The sequence below is a fragment of the Homo sapiens genome, chromosome 19, assembly GCF_000001405.40.
Source record: "Homo sapiens chromosome 19, GRCh38.p14 Primary Assembly".
Taxonomy (NCBI): Eukaryota; Metazoa; Chordata; class Mammalia; order Primates; family Hominidae; genus Homo; species Homo sapiens.
In genome coordinates, this window is record NC_000019.10 from 9,347,532 (window position 1) to 9,361,017 (window position 13,486).

At 42.1% G+C, this 13,486-nt stretch overlaps 1 protein-coding gene and 1 pseudogene across 3 annotated transcripts in view; one reads left to right on the forward strand and one right to left on the reverse strand.

Annotated features, from left to right (window-relative positions):
- ZNF559-ZNF177 (ZNF559-ZNF177 readthrough) overlaps window positions 1-13,486 on the forward strand; it is a 58,439-nt gene that overhangs the window by 23,353 nt on the left and 21,600 nt on the right. The window contains exons 4-5 of one of the 3 annotated variants that reach the window (NM_001172650.3): window positions 8,126-8,190; window positions 10,297-10,373. The exons of the other annotated variants lie outside the window; for them this stretch is intronic. The gene's annotated coding sequence lies outside the window, so the exon portion shown is untranslated. The remainder of the gene's footprint in view (window positions 1-8,125; window positions 8,191-10,296; window positions 10,374-13,486) is intronic. 3 annotated transcript variants of the gene reach the window in all.
- Window positions 393-1,375, reverse strand: UBXN2AP1 (UBXN2A pseudogene 1; annotated as a pseudogene).

The window sequence follows — 13,486 nt, forward strand, 5'->3', positions numbered from 1 at the left end:
GATTACAGGCATGAGCCATCACGCCCAGCTACCAAATTAATATTCAAATATATGTTGCCATTACAGAGTGATAACTAAGGACACTTTGAGGTATAGGCATAGCTGTGGTAAAAACAGCTCTCTCCAGCTTTGCATCTAAGTTGTAAAATAATTACATTGATGCTTTTAAACCTGCCATGTATAATTTTTCAATGTATTAGCCATTTAATAACTCTGAGACAGCTAACATTTAAATAAATCCCTGTTTGGGAATGGTATTTGAACAAATAATATTGTGAACATATTTGCCAATTTATACTATATTAAGATTCTAAATAATACAGCTATTTAATATATCTTGATAATTAGTATTTGAAATAAATATATTTCTCTGAGTAGCCTTTTGGAAAAAGTGCACAGAATATAGTTTCCAGTCATATGCTACTTTTCTAACTTGCACTTATCTAAACATTTCATCAGGAGAGAGTTCAATAGTACCCGAACCAAAAGTCCAGTGAATCTGACTTACCCAGTCCCCAATTTGGTTTGCATGTCTGCTTACAACCATCATTTCTCTGCAGATTTTCCACTTAGTCTATCAAAAATCAATGGTGCAGCAGTTTTTTGGAGTCTCTGACAACAAAACTCTGTAAATCTGCTTCTTCCAGTGTGAGTGTCTCATCTAACAATCTGAGGATAGGACAAACTGTTGCCAGGGACAGGGGAGGACTTCTTTTGAGATCCTTGGTAGTTTTCAATGAAGTCTTTGATATGGCTTACCCTTCCTACTTGGTGACCCTGTCCTGAAAAGAGCTGGAAGACAGGCTTCGTAGACATATATGTTTCATTTTTCTTGTCTTCAACTTTAACACCCACCTCTTTATCAAAAATTCCCTGTAATTCTGAAGGTAATTCCCCCTTTTTGATGGAGTTCAGAAACTGCTGACTTGCACCATTTGAATAACTTCTGAAATAATTGTTGACGGTGAATCCATTTTTCCATAATTTTATGTTTACGTCTACCTGTTTCTTTTGTTAAGTGGGAGACAAGCATTTGGAACCAACCTTCTGAGCTTCCTCAAAAAGGCTATCAACAAACTATTCACAATTTGTTTATTGATTATCACCAAGACCTTGATTGTCAGGTCCTGTTTCACAAACCCAGTCTTTTATACTTTCGAGATTATCTACGTCTTTCATTCTCTTTTGCGTTACTCCGAGCACAGCCTCCAAGCCTAGGCCTCACTCAGCTCAGGAGCCACCAGCACTGTTTGGCTGCGAGCTCCGTTTGGCTGGAGCCCTTCAGACCCGGAGCGCCTCGCCCGAGACCACCTCCGGTACCCCGGCTGCGCTGCTGATATCCCGCCGGCCTCTCTGTCTCCACCAAGTGCCAAGCGTTCACCCACGCCTGCTGCCTGCAAGACCTGAGGAACGCGCATGGGCTTTTTTTTTTTAAGACAAGTTTCACTCTGTATCCCAGGCTAGAGTGCAGTGGCATGAGCTTGGCTCACTGCAACCTCCGCCTCTCGGGGTCAAGCGATTCTTGTGCCTCACCTTCTGGAGTAACTGGGACTACACGCGTGCACCACCACACCCAGCTAAATTTTTCTGTATTTTTAGTAGAGCCAGGGTTTCGCCATGTTGCCCAGGCTGGTCTAGAACTCCTAGGTTCAAGCGATCCACCTGCCTCGGCCTCCCAAAGTGGTGGGATTATAGACGTGAGCCACCGCACCCAGCTTCTGGCAGCTTTTTAGTAGGTTCTATCATATTTTCTACTAGGACAATTCTGTTGTCTGCATATAAAATTTTTTACTTCTTCCTTTCCAATCTGTATGCGTTTTGTATTTTTCTTGTTACATTAACCAGAACCTGCAGTGTATTGTTAAATAGAAATTGAGAGACTAGACATTCTTGTCTTGTTTCTGGTCTTGGGAGTAAATCATTGAATCTTTTACCATTTAGTAACTATCTTTTTAATCTTTTTTTTGATAACACCTATTGGGTGGGAAACAGTATTTGTAGTTTTTTATTTTTATTTCCCTGGTGGCTAAAGATTTTTATTATTTTTTTTTTCTGGGCTTAGCTCGCCTGAAAACTAAAGATATTGATCATCTTTTCATCAGTTTGTTGACTATGTATCTGTCTTCTTTGGGAGAATGTCTATTTAGATCCTTTGCCATTTTTAAATTGAGTTCTTTTCATTATTGGGTTTCAAGAGCCCTATAAATTCTAGGTACAAATACCATATCAAATAAATCGTTTACAAGTATTTTCTTTCATTCTTTGTGTTGTCCTTTCACTTTCTTGATGATATCCTTTCGAGTGTAAAAGTTTTAAGTTTATTTTTTTCTTATGCTTTTGGTGTCAAATCTGAGAAACCATTGCCTAACCCAAGGTCGTGAAGTCTTTTATATTTTCTTCTAGGATTTTTATAGTTCTAGCTCTTAAAGTTAGTTCTATGATCCATTTTGAACTAATATTTGTGCATGCTGTGAACAGTGTATCCAGCTTCATTCTTCTGCATGTAACACCCAGTTACCCTAGCATATGTGTTGAAAAGACTGTTTATCCCATTGAATTGTCTTGGCACTCTTGTCAAAAATCAGTTAACCATAAATGTAAAGGCTTATTTATTTGTTTTGAGACTGGGTCCTGCTCTGTTAACCCAGGTTGGAGTGCTGTGGTGTGATCTTGGCTCACTGCAGCCTTGACCTCCCAGGCTCAAGTGATCCTCCTCCTTGAGCTTCCCAAGTAGCTGGGACTACAGGTATACACCACCACGCCTGGCTAATTTTTGTATTTCTTGTAGAGACAGGGTTTCATTTTGTTGCCCAGACTGGTCTTGAACTCCTGGGCTCAAGCAATCCTCCTGCCTCTGTCTCCCAAAGTGCTGGGATTACAGATGTGAGCCACTGTGCCCAGCATTAAGATTTATTTCTAGACTCTCAGTTCACCTCCATTGTACATGTCTAACCTGTTTGTAACCACACTGTCCTGATTACTGTAGCTTTAGAGTAATTTTTGAAATTGGGAAGTGCGAGCCCTTCTGTGATCCTTTTTGCAATGCACGGGTTAAGGTTACTTTTGGAGGTGGTAGAAGGGATACGAATGTTTTAATTTTTTTTTGCACGACAGTTGGTTGAAAACAGTCTTTTCTCTATTGGATTATTTGTACCTTTTTTGAAAATGAAATTGATGACTTATGTTTAAATCTATTTCTGGGATCTATTCCGTTTCAGCTAATCTATGTGTCTGTCCTTTTGCTAATACTACACTTTTTTTTTTTGAGACAGAGTCTCACTGTATCACCCAGACTGGAGTGCAGTGGTACCATCTCAGCTCACGGCAGCTTCCACCTCCCAGGTTCAAGCAATTCTTGTGCCTCAGCCTCCCGAGTAGCTGGGACTTGTGCCTGAGCCTCCCAAGTAGCTGAGACTATAGGTGCGTGCCACCACAGCTGGCTAACTTGTGTTTGTAGTAGAGACAGGGTTTCACCATGTTGGCCAGGTTGGTTTCAACCTCTTGGCCTCAAGTGATCCACCCACCTCAGCCTCCCAAAGTGCTGGGATTACAGGCGCGAGCCACCGCATCTGGCCTGCGGATACTATACATTTTTGATTATGGTAGCTGTCTAGTAAATCTTGAAAGCAAGTGGTGCGAGAGTTCCAACATTGACCTTAATTTTCAGAATCATTTGGGATGGTCCGTGTTTTTTGTTTTTTCACGTAAATTTTTTTTTTTTTTTTTTTTTTTTTTTGAGACGGAGTCTCGCTCTGTCACCCAGGCTGGAGTGCAGTGGTGCAATCTCAGCTCACTGCAAGCTCTGCCTCCCGGGTTTACGCCATTCTCCTGCCTCAGCCTCCTGAGTAGCTGGGACTACAGGCGCCTGCCACCACGCCCGGCTTTTTGTATTTCTTTTTTTTTGTATTTTTAATGGAGATGGGGTTTTACCATGTTAGCCAGGATGGTCTCGATCTCCTGACCTCATGATCCACCCACCTTGGCCTCCCAGAGTGCTGGGATTACAGGTGTGAGCCACCACACCCGGCCTTTTCACATAAATTTTAGTGTAAACTTACTGGTTTCCATAAAAAGCCTGCCGGGATTTTTTTTTTTTTAACTGAGATTTGGTTTAATCTAAAGATGAATTAGAGAATTGGCGTCTTAATACTGGCTGTTCTGAACCATAGACACAGTATATCTCTGCCGTGGTCTGAATGTTTGCATACCCGCAAAATTTATATGGTTGAAATCCTAATCCCCAGTCCAATGATATTGGCAGGCGAGGCCTTTTGGAGATGATTAGGCTAATGAGGGCAGAGCACTAATGAATTAGATTGGTGCCTTTATAAAAGAGATTCCAGAGAGCTTGCTCATCTCTTCTGCCTTGTGAGGACACAGCAAGAAGTCACCATCTGTGAACCAAGAAGTGGGACCTCATCAGATGCCAAATCTGCCAACACTTCAATCTTGGACTTCCCATTCTCCAGAACTGTGAGCAATACATATCTGTTGTTTATAAGCCATCTAGTCTATGGTATTTTGTTCTAGCAGCCCAAACGGACTAAGACAATCTCCCCATTAATTTAGGTCTTATTTCTTTCAACAGTGTTTTGTGGTTTTCTGTATTGCACCATTTCATTGATGGTATTATAAATGCTAGTTTTAAATTTTCAATTTTTTAGTGCTAGTATATAAAATTATTTATATTTATATATAATTTATATTTGACCTTGAATCCTGCAAACTTTTTATAGTTATCTATTCCTGTAACTTTTTGGAATATTCTACATAAACAAATCTTATGCTCTGTATTATAAAGGCAGTTTTGCTTTCTCTCTGATATCTGTCCCTTTTATTTCTTTATATTTTCTTAATGTACTGGCTAGGGCCTCCAGTAGTGTTGAATGAGAGTGGTGAGAACACACATCCTTGTCTTATTCCCAACCTTAGGCAGAAAGCGTTCCGTCTTCTACCATTAAGTATGATGTTAGCTGTGGGTTTCTTTGAAGACAGCTTTATTAGGTTGACGAAGTTCCCTTCCACTGCTTGTTCACTGAGAGATTTTATTTCATTTTTTATTTTTTCAGCATTTATTTATGCATTTTAATTTTTTTCTTTTCTTTTCTTTTTTTTTTTTGAAACAGGGTCTCACTCTGTTGCCCAGGCTGGAGTCCAGTGATGCAATCATAACTCACTGCAGCTTCTAACTTTGGGCTCAAGTGATCTTCCCACCTCAGCCTCCCATCTAGCTGGGACTACAGTAGTTCACTGAGAGATTTTATTATGAAAACCTTTTATCATAGAACCATTTCTTAAGACCTCAGAGACCTTTAGTTTGGTGTTTGATAGAGTCTTATGAATAGATATCGTATGTAGAAGTTCAAATAAGGTGCGTTTTCATTAACCAAAAGAGTATCTCAGCATCCCTTCTGGGCATTGTTCCCCTGCATTCTCACAGACAGTGGTCCAAGATAGAGAAGGGCCTAAGAGATTTTAGCCATGACTTTTGTCTAATGACACAAATCCAATAAAATTAATGGAGATAAATGGGAAAAGGTTTTTTATTGCAAAAAAAAAAAAAAAAGTTGGCAAAAGCAAGGTCAACTTTGTCCAAACAAAATGGAAAGAAGTAGTACAAAATGTAAAGAGACCTTTGAACCCCCAAACTGCAGATAGCAAACAGATGAAATAGGCCTATAAAACTACTCAGTTGAAAATGTTTACTTTTTATGGGAAAGCAAGTATGATTCAGAGTACAGAACTTCAGAAGACTCACTCCTGTGGAGCTGCACTGGTGCTTGAGAAACAGATAACATGTTCCTGCCTGAATTTAAGAATTGCTGTGGGTCAGGGGCTGCTGTGGAATCCCATTTCTCCCCACCCATGCCTTTTTAATAGGAATGTCTATTTTAACTATCCCATTCCTGTCTCAAACTCTGTATTGGTTTTGTGGGGAACAGATAACTTGTCTCTTTAGCTTACAAATGTTCAAATCTAGAGGAGCAGGAGTATATTCAAGAAACCAAACCCAAGGACTTTTTTATGATTTTTATTTATGTTTTATTGTTATTTTTAAATTTTTATTTTTATTTATTTATATTTTGAGACAGAGTCTCACTCTGGCACCCAGGCTAGAGTGCAGTGGCACAGTGATCTTGGCTCACTGCAATCTCTGCCTGCCAGGCTCAAGCGATCCTCTGCCTCAGCCTTCTGAGTAGCTGGGACTATAGGCACATGCCACCATGCCCAGCTATTTGTTTTTTTTTTTTTTTTTTTGGTAGAGACAGGGTTTCATCATTTTTCCCAGGCTGGTCTCAAACTCCTGGGCTCAAGCTGTCTTCCTGTCTTGGCCTCCCAAAGTGCTGGGATTACAGGTATGAGCCACTGTGCCCAGCCACTTTTCAAAACATTTTTTGAGACAGGGTCTCATTCCATCACCCAGGCTGAAGTTCAGTGATGCAGTCATAGCTCACTGCATCCTTGAATTCCTGGGCTCAAGTGATCCTCCTGCCTCAGCCTACTGAGTAGCTGAGACTACAGGCACATGCCACCACACCCGGCATGTGTTTGTGGGGGGTAAGAGGGGTCTTTTTTGCTGTTCTTGCCAGGGTTGGAGTGCAGTGGCACAATCATAGCTCACTGCAGCCTTGACCTCCTGGGCCCAGGTGATCCTCCTGCCTCAGCCTCTTGAGTAGCTGGGACCAGAGGCATGTGCCACCACGCCTGACTAATTTTTGTATTTTTTTGTAGAGAGAGGGTCTCTCTCTGTTGACCAGGCTGGTCTTGAACTGCTGGACTCAAGGGATCCTGCCACCTCAGCCTCCCAGAGTGCTGGGATTACAGACGTGAGCCACTGCTCTTGGCCGTCTTTTCTGGATTGCACCTTATTTGGATGACCAGATCCTGGACATAAAACCAGAGTCTACTACCACGGGCATGAGACTTTGGTGTGGCCTTAGGAAGTGGTGAGAGTTTCTTGTACATGGGAAGTATAAATATTAATAATTTGTAGCCACATGCAGACTCCGATGGTTTTAAAACACGGCCCTAAAATTCTTTGATACTTTTACCTCCCCCTTGTATCTGCACTGACCTTTGACTGCATTTCCCAAAGGAGTACAACATAAATGATTCCATGAGATTTCCAAAGCAAGGCCACGAAGGGCCATGCGGTTCCCTTCTGGCTGGAACATTCCCTCTTGAGATGCTTCCTCCTCTCAGAGTGCTTCCTCTTGGGAACTAGCAGCTATGCTGTAACAGGGAGGGGTTACATGTAGATGCTGCCATCAACAGCCACCAGCTGCTGTCTGTTTTTTAGCCATTTCAGGGAAAACATCAGATACAAGAGTGATAATAGAATCCAGATGATTCCAGCCCCCAGCCTTTGGATTCAGCATCAGCTGTGTAAGACTTCCCAGCTAGGCCCTGGACATTGTGAGGCAGAGAAAAGCCATTCATTCCTCCTGTATCCTGTCCAAATTCCTGCCCCATGATCTGTTAACATAATAGAGTAGTAGTGGTTCTGTACCAGCAGTTCTCAACCTTTTTTATCTTGAGACTCTTTTATACTCCAAAAATTGAGCACCCCAAAAAGCTTTTGCCAATGGGCATTCTATCTGTGAATATTTAACATTTTAGAAATTAAGGCAGGCCAAGCATGGTGGCTCTTGCCTGTAATCCCAGCACTTTGGGAGGCTGAGGCCGGCGGCTCAACTGAAGTCAGGAGTTTGAGACCAGCCTGGCCAACATGGTGAAACCCTGTCTCTACTAAAAATACAAAAAAACTAGCCAGCATGGTGGTGTGTGCCTGTAATTCCAGCTACTCAGGAGTCTGAGGCAAGAGAACTGATTGAACCCAGGGGGCAGAGGTTGAAGTGAGCTGAGATCATGCCACTGTGCTCCAGCCTCCAGCCTGGGTGACAGAGCAGGACTTCATCTCAAAACAAAAGGAATTGGGGCAAATTTTAAAAATATTTTAGTAATATACATAACATGCTTTTTAAAAATAACTTTTCCACAATGGCAACAAAATAATGTGGAAAGAGCGACATATTGCATGCTTTTGCAAATCTCTTTAATGTCTTAAGAGCTTAATAGATGACAGCTGAATTCTCATACTTGTTTCTACATTTTTTGCCATTAGTTGCTTTGATTAGAAAGTTTGGCTTTGCTGAGATACGTAGTTGGAAAAGAGAGAAGCATTTTCAGGTAATTTTGGATTTTCTTTGATATTACACCAAAACTCAAGAAATGGTAGTTTCTGAAAGATTAGTTGCAATATGGAATGAAATCCTGTTAAGGAATTGTTTCTATTCTGTTACATTAAAATTCATTTGTTTGTCTTGCACTATTTTTTTCTTTTCCTTTTATTTATTTATTTATTTATTTTTGAGACAGAGTCTCGCTCTGTCGCCCAGGCTGGAATGCAGTGGCGCAATCTCGGCTCACTGCAAGCTCTGCCTCCCAGGTTCACACCATTCTCCTGCCTCAGTCTCCCGAGTAGCTGGGGCTACAGGCTCCCGCCACCGCGCCCGGCTAATTTTTTGTATTTTTAATAGAGACGGGGTTTCACTGTGTTAGCCAAGATGGTCTCAATCTCCTGACCTCGTGATCCACCTGCCTCGGCCTCCGAAAGTGTTGGGATTACAGGCGTGAGGCACTGCGCCCGGCCTTTTTTTTTTTTTTTTTTTTTGAGATGGAATTTTGCTCTTGTTGCCCAGGCTGGGGTGCAATGGTGCGATCTCCACTCACTGCAGCCTCCGCCTCCTGGGTTCAAGCAATTCTCCAGCCTCAGCCTCCTGAGTAGCTGGGATTACAGGCACCCACCACCACACCTGGTGAATTTTTGTATTTTTAGTAGAAACGGTTTCACCATGTTGGCCAGGCTGCTCTTGAACTCCTGACCTCAATCTACCCGCTTTGGCTTCCCAAAGTTCTGGGATTACAGGCATGAGCCATGGCGTCCAGCCCATATCTTGCACTTTGATTGGCTATTTTATCAATGCATGATTTTATACCTTAATACCTGACTTAGAAAATAGGGCTGGCACAGTGGCTCTTGCCTGTAATCTCAGCACTTCGGGAGGCCAAAGTAGGAGAATCCTTGAGTCCAAGAGTTCGAAAGCAGCCTGGGCAACATAGTGAGACCCTCATTTCTAAAATGAAAGGAAATAGTCATTTACTTCATTATGCAGATCTTTCAAATGTTTACCCATTTTAAAGTACAGTGTCTAAAATAAACCTTCATGAACATGACCATTGATCCTATCAGAAAAGTTTTTATGCGTTGAGACGCTTCTAAGGTGACAGATCTAAGCTTTCCAACTTTTGCTGTTCCTTCAAGGACATTTTTATTTAGCCTGAGTGTGGGGCAGTGAGGCATTCAGTGACTGCGCAGTTCAGTGCCACTGCCTTAATTTTTTTTTTTTTTTTTTTTTTTTGCGATGCTGTTTTGCTCTTTTTAGCCACAGGCTGGAGTGCAATGGTGTGATTCGGCTCACTGTAACCTCCGCCTCCCGGGTTCAAGCGATTCTCCTGCCCCAGCATCCTAAGTAGCTGAGATTACAGGCGCATGCCACAATGCCCGGCTAATTTTGTACTTTTAGTAGAGACGGGTTTCACCATGTTTATTACCAGGCTGGTCTCTAACTCCTTACCTCAGGTGATCCACCCACCTTGGCCTTCCAAAGTGCTGGGATTACAGGCATGAGCCACCGTGCCCAGCCCACTGCCTTAATTTCTGCTGAGGCACCAGCGCTTTTGGCCACTTTTATAATGTGTCATCAGTATAAATGTGGATATGGTGAAAAGGTCAAGAATGTATTTGTGCTATTATAACAATAGTTTTTTTTTTTTGTTTTTTTGTTTTTTTGAGACAGAGTGTCGCTCTGTCACCCAGGGCGTGATCTCGGCTAACTGCAAGCTCCGCCTCCTGTGTTCACGCCATTCTCCTGCCTCAGCCTCCTGAGTAGCTGGGACTACAGGCACCCGCCACCACGCCCAGATAATTTTTTGTATTTTTAGTAGAGACGGCGTTTCACTGTGTTAGCCAGGATGGTCTCCATCTCCTGACCTCGTGATCCGCCCGTCTCGGCCTCCCAAAGTGCTGGGATTACAGGCGTGAGCCACCGCGCCCAGCCATAACAATAGTTTTAATCTCACAGACCGCCTGAAAGTGTTTTGGGTCCCTCAGCAGTTTACCAACCCTGAGAACTGCTATTCTGTATCACTTAAGTTTGAAGTGGTTTTTTTACACAACAATAATAATCAGAACCGAACTCATATCCCTTTTTTCTTCTTCTTTTTGATTATTAGTTTCTTCAGTGTACTAGATGGCTGACTGGGAAGATTCCAGGGTCCCAACAGGCTTCAGAGTTGCGAAGGCTCTAGAGGTACTGTTTGCTCACATAGAGCCTAGGTGTTGAGGGCTTAGACTCTGGAGCCCAGCTGCTGGAATGTGGGCCCTGCAGCTGTTACTGTTGAGCTGTGTGTCTGGAGCCCTTCCCTTAGCCTTTCCTGAGTCTCATTCTCCGTTGGTTAAATGATGTCATTAATAAGGCAAATGATTTTGTTGCTAAATGCCAGTGGAAACTTTCTAATAGTCATAACTGTCACAAGGTCTGATGACCTCACAGTTATTTTGCCCTTAACGGATGCCATAAAATGCCCGAAAAGCTTTCCCGGGGTCAACTCACTTCATTACAACTCCCTGAGGGAGTACCATTGTTAATGTCTTATGTGGTCTGTGTACTATGAAATATCCACCACCATCTCTGATGGATTCCAGCGCACCTTGTTTCACTTGAGTCTGTCCAGTCTTTAGAGTTAACAGAGGAACCCTAGTTACTGATTCCAGACTTTGACCTCATCCAAAATTAACAGCAGCCAATTTGCATTCTTCTGGGTTATATATTGTTGGCCAAATATTCAGAATTATTGTGTGCCTCTGGGCAGAGAACTCACAGTTCAAAATATCTTTTTTGTTTTCCTTTGGTACAGGGTCTTGCTCTGTCACCCAGGCTGGAGTGCAGTAGTATGATCATAGCTTACTGCAGCCTCCACCTCCTGGGTTCAAGTGATCCTCCCACCTCGGCCTCCCAGGAGCTGGGACTACAGGCACAAATCACCATGCCCAAATATATATATATTTTTCAATCTCCTATTTCTTTCCTCTCTCTTGTTTTGGAAGTTACTCAGCAAGCTACATCTGTCTAATTGGATATGTATGTCCATATCCTGTTAGAATCAAGTATTTCAGAGTATAAGCATGATAGTAATAAAGCTCGCAATATTATCATTAAGCCACTTACTTTAGAGATCCCATGATGAACCCAAAGTCTCCCCTATTGCGGACCCTGGAGACCGGTTAAGTCTAGGAGAAATAATATCAAGATTTAGACTGATCTTTTTTTCCCCAATCTCTTTGCCTCTGAGTAACCATTCTTCAAATTCAGAACCACACTCAGGGTAAAATATAAGTAAGGGCTATTTATTTTTTTGCCACTGTTTTGGCATCTGTAGACAATACAGTTTATTTAATTTCAGGTTTTCACAGTTATGTACAGTCATACCTCGGAGATATGTGAGTTCGCTTCCACAGACCATCATAGTAAAGTGAGTCATACAAATTTTTTGGTTTCCTAGTGCATATAAAAGTTACGTTGGCTGGGTGAGGTGGCTGTCACCTGTAATCCCAGTGCTTTGAGAAGCTGAGGTAGGAGGATCACTTGAGTCTAGGAGTTTGAGACCAGCCTGGGCAACTATAGCAAGACCCCATCTCTACAAAAAAAATGTTTTACATCAGTCAGGTGTGGTGGAGTAGCTGTAGTTCTAGCTATTCAGGAGGCTGAGGCAGGTGGATTGCTTGAGCCCAGGAGTTCAAGGCTGCAATAAGCTATGATTGTGCCACTGCATTCCAGCCTGGGTGACAGAGTAATACCCTGTCTCAAAAAAAAAAAAAAAAAAAAAAAAAAATGCTGAGCGTGGTGGTTCATGCCTATAATCCCAGCACTTTGGGAGGCCGAGGTGGGTGGTGGATCACCTGAGGTCAAGAGTTCAAGACCAGCCTGTCCAACATGGTGAAACCCCATTCTCTACTAAAAATGTAAAAATTAGCCAGGTGTGGTGGAGCACACCTACAATCCCAGCTACTTGGGAGGCTGAGGCAGGAGAATCACTTGAACGCAGGAGGTGGAGGCTGCAGTGAGTTGAGATTGTGCCATGGCACTCCAGCCTAGGCAACAGAGCAATACTGCATCTTAAAAAAAAAAAAAAAATTATAGTCTATTGTGTGCAGTAGCATTATGTCTAAAAAACAAAGGATGCACCTTAATTGTAAAATACTTTGCTTAAAAATTCTGACAGAGAAACAAAGTGAGTATGTGTTATTGGAAAAATGGTGCTAGTAGACTTCATCAGTGGCCACAAACCTTCAATTTGTAATAACCTTCAATTTGTAATAAAAATAAAACCCCACACGTTATCTGCAAAGCACAATAAAATGAAGTATGTTACATGTTGATTTTCAGGAATTAGAAGAAAATGAGAGTATTGTTGTCATCGGAAATAAGAGGATTGTTTTGCCAAGCTACTGAAAAAAAAAAAAACTTTCATTCCTTTGTCAACTGCAAGAATGGTAATATTTGACAAGAAAAACCCAACTTGTCAAATACTACGATTCTTGCAGTTGACAAAGGAATGAAAAGTTAATAGCATATGTGAGGCTGGACACGGTGGCTCACACCTGTAATCCCAACACTTTGGGAGGCCAAGACGGGTGGATCACCTGAGGTCAGGAGTTCGAGGCCAACCTGACCAATGTGGCAAAAGCCCATCTCTACTAAAAATACAAAAATTAGCCAGGCATGGTGGCAGGCACCTATAATCCCAGCTACTGGGGAGGCTGAGACATGAGAACAGGTTGAACCCGGGAGGCGGAGGTTGCAGTGAGCTGAGATTGCGCCACTGCATTCCAGCCTGGGCAACAGAGGGTGACTCCGTCTCAGAAAAAAAAAAAAAGTATATATGAGCATTTAACAAGGCTATAGGTTTTGATTTTGAGCCCTGAAAACCCCCAGGTTTAGTTTCATTGGGAATTTGTATTCAAACATGTCTCTGCTCTGGATCCATAGGTGGCACAATTTTGCCAGTTTTTGATGCATAAATGGTGACAGTATCCTTTAACAAAATTCCTAAAGTAGTCTTTTAAAAAAATAATTCTGAAAATCTGGCCAATGATAATACAGGACTCGGAAGAAAATACTACCCATTGAAATTGGAAAGCCTGTTTTCAATTTGGGGTCTGCTTTTTTTTTTTTTAATTGCTTTAAGAGATTAAGGATTTTAGACACAAACACGTCATAAAGTGTTTTTAGATTTGCATGAACCTACTGTGGTTTAGTATAAATAAACCCCTAACATGAGTGTTACAGATGCCTGTGAGGGTATCTTGGGGGTTTCTACACTGCCTACCCCAAACCTGACTGCAGTCAGAGCCAACAGGGCC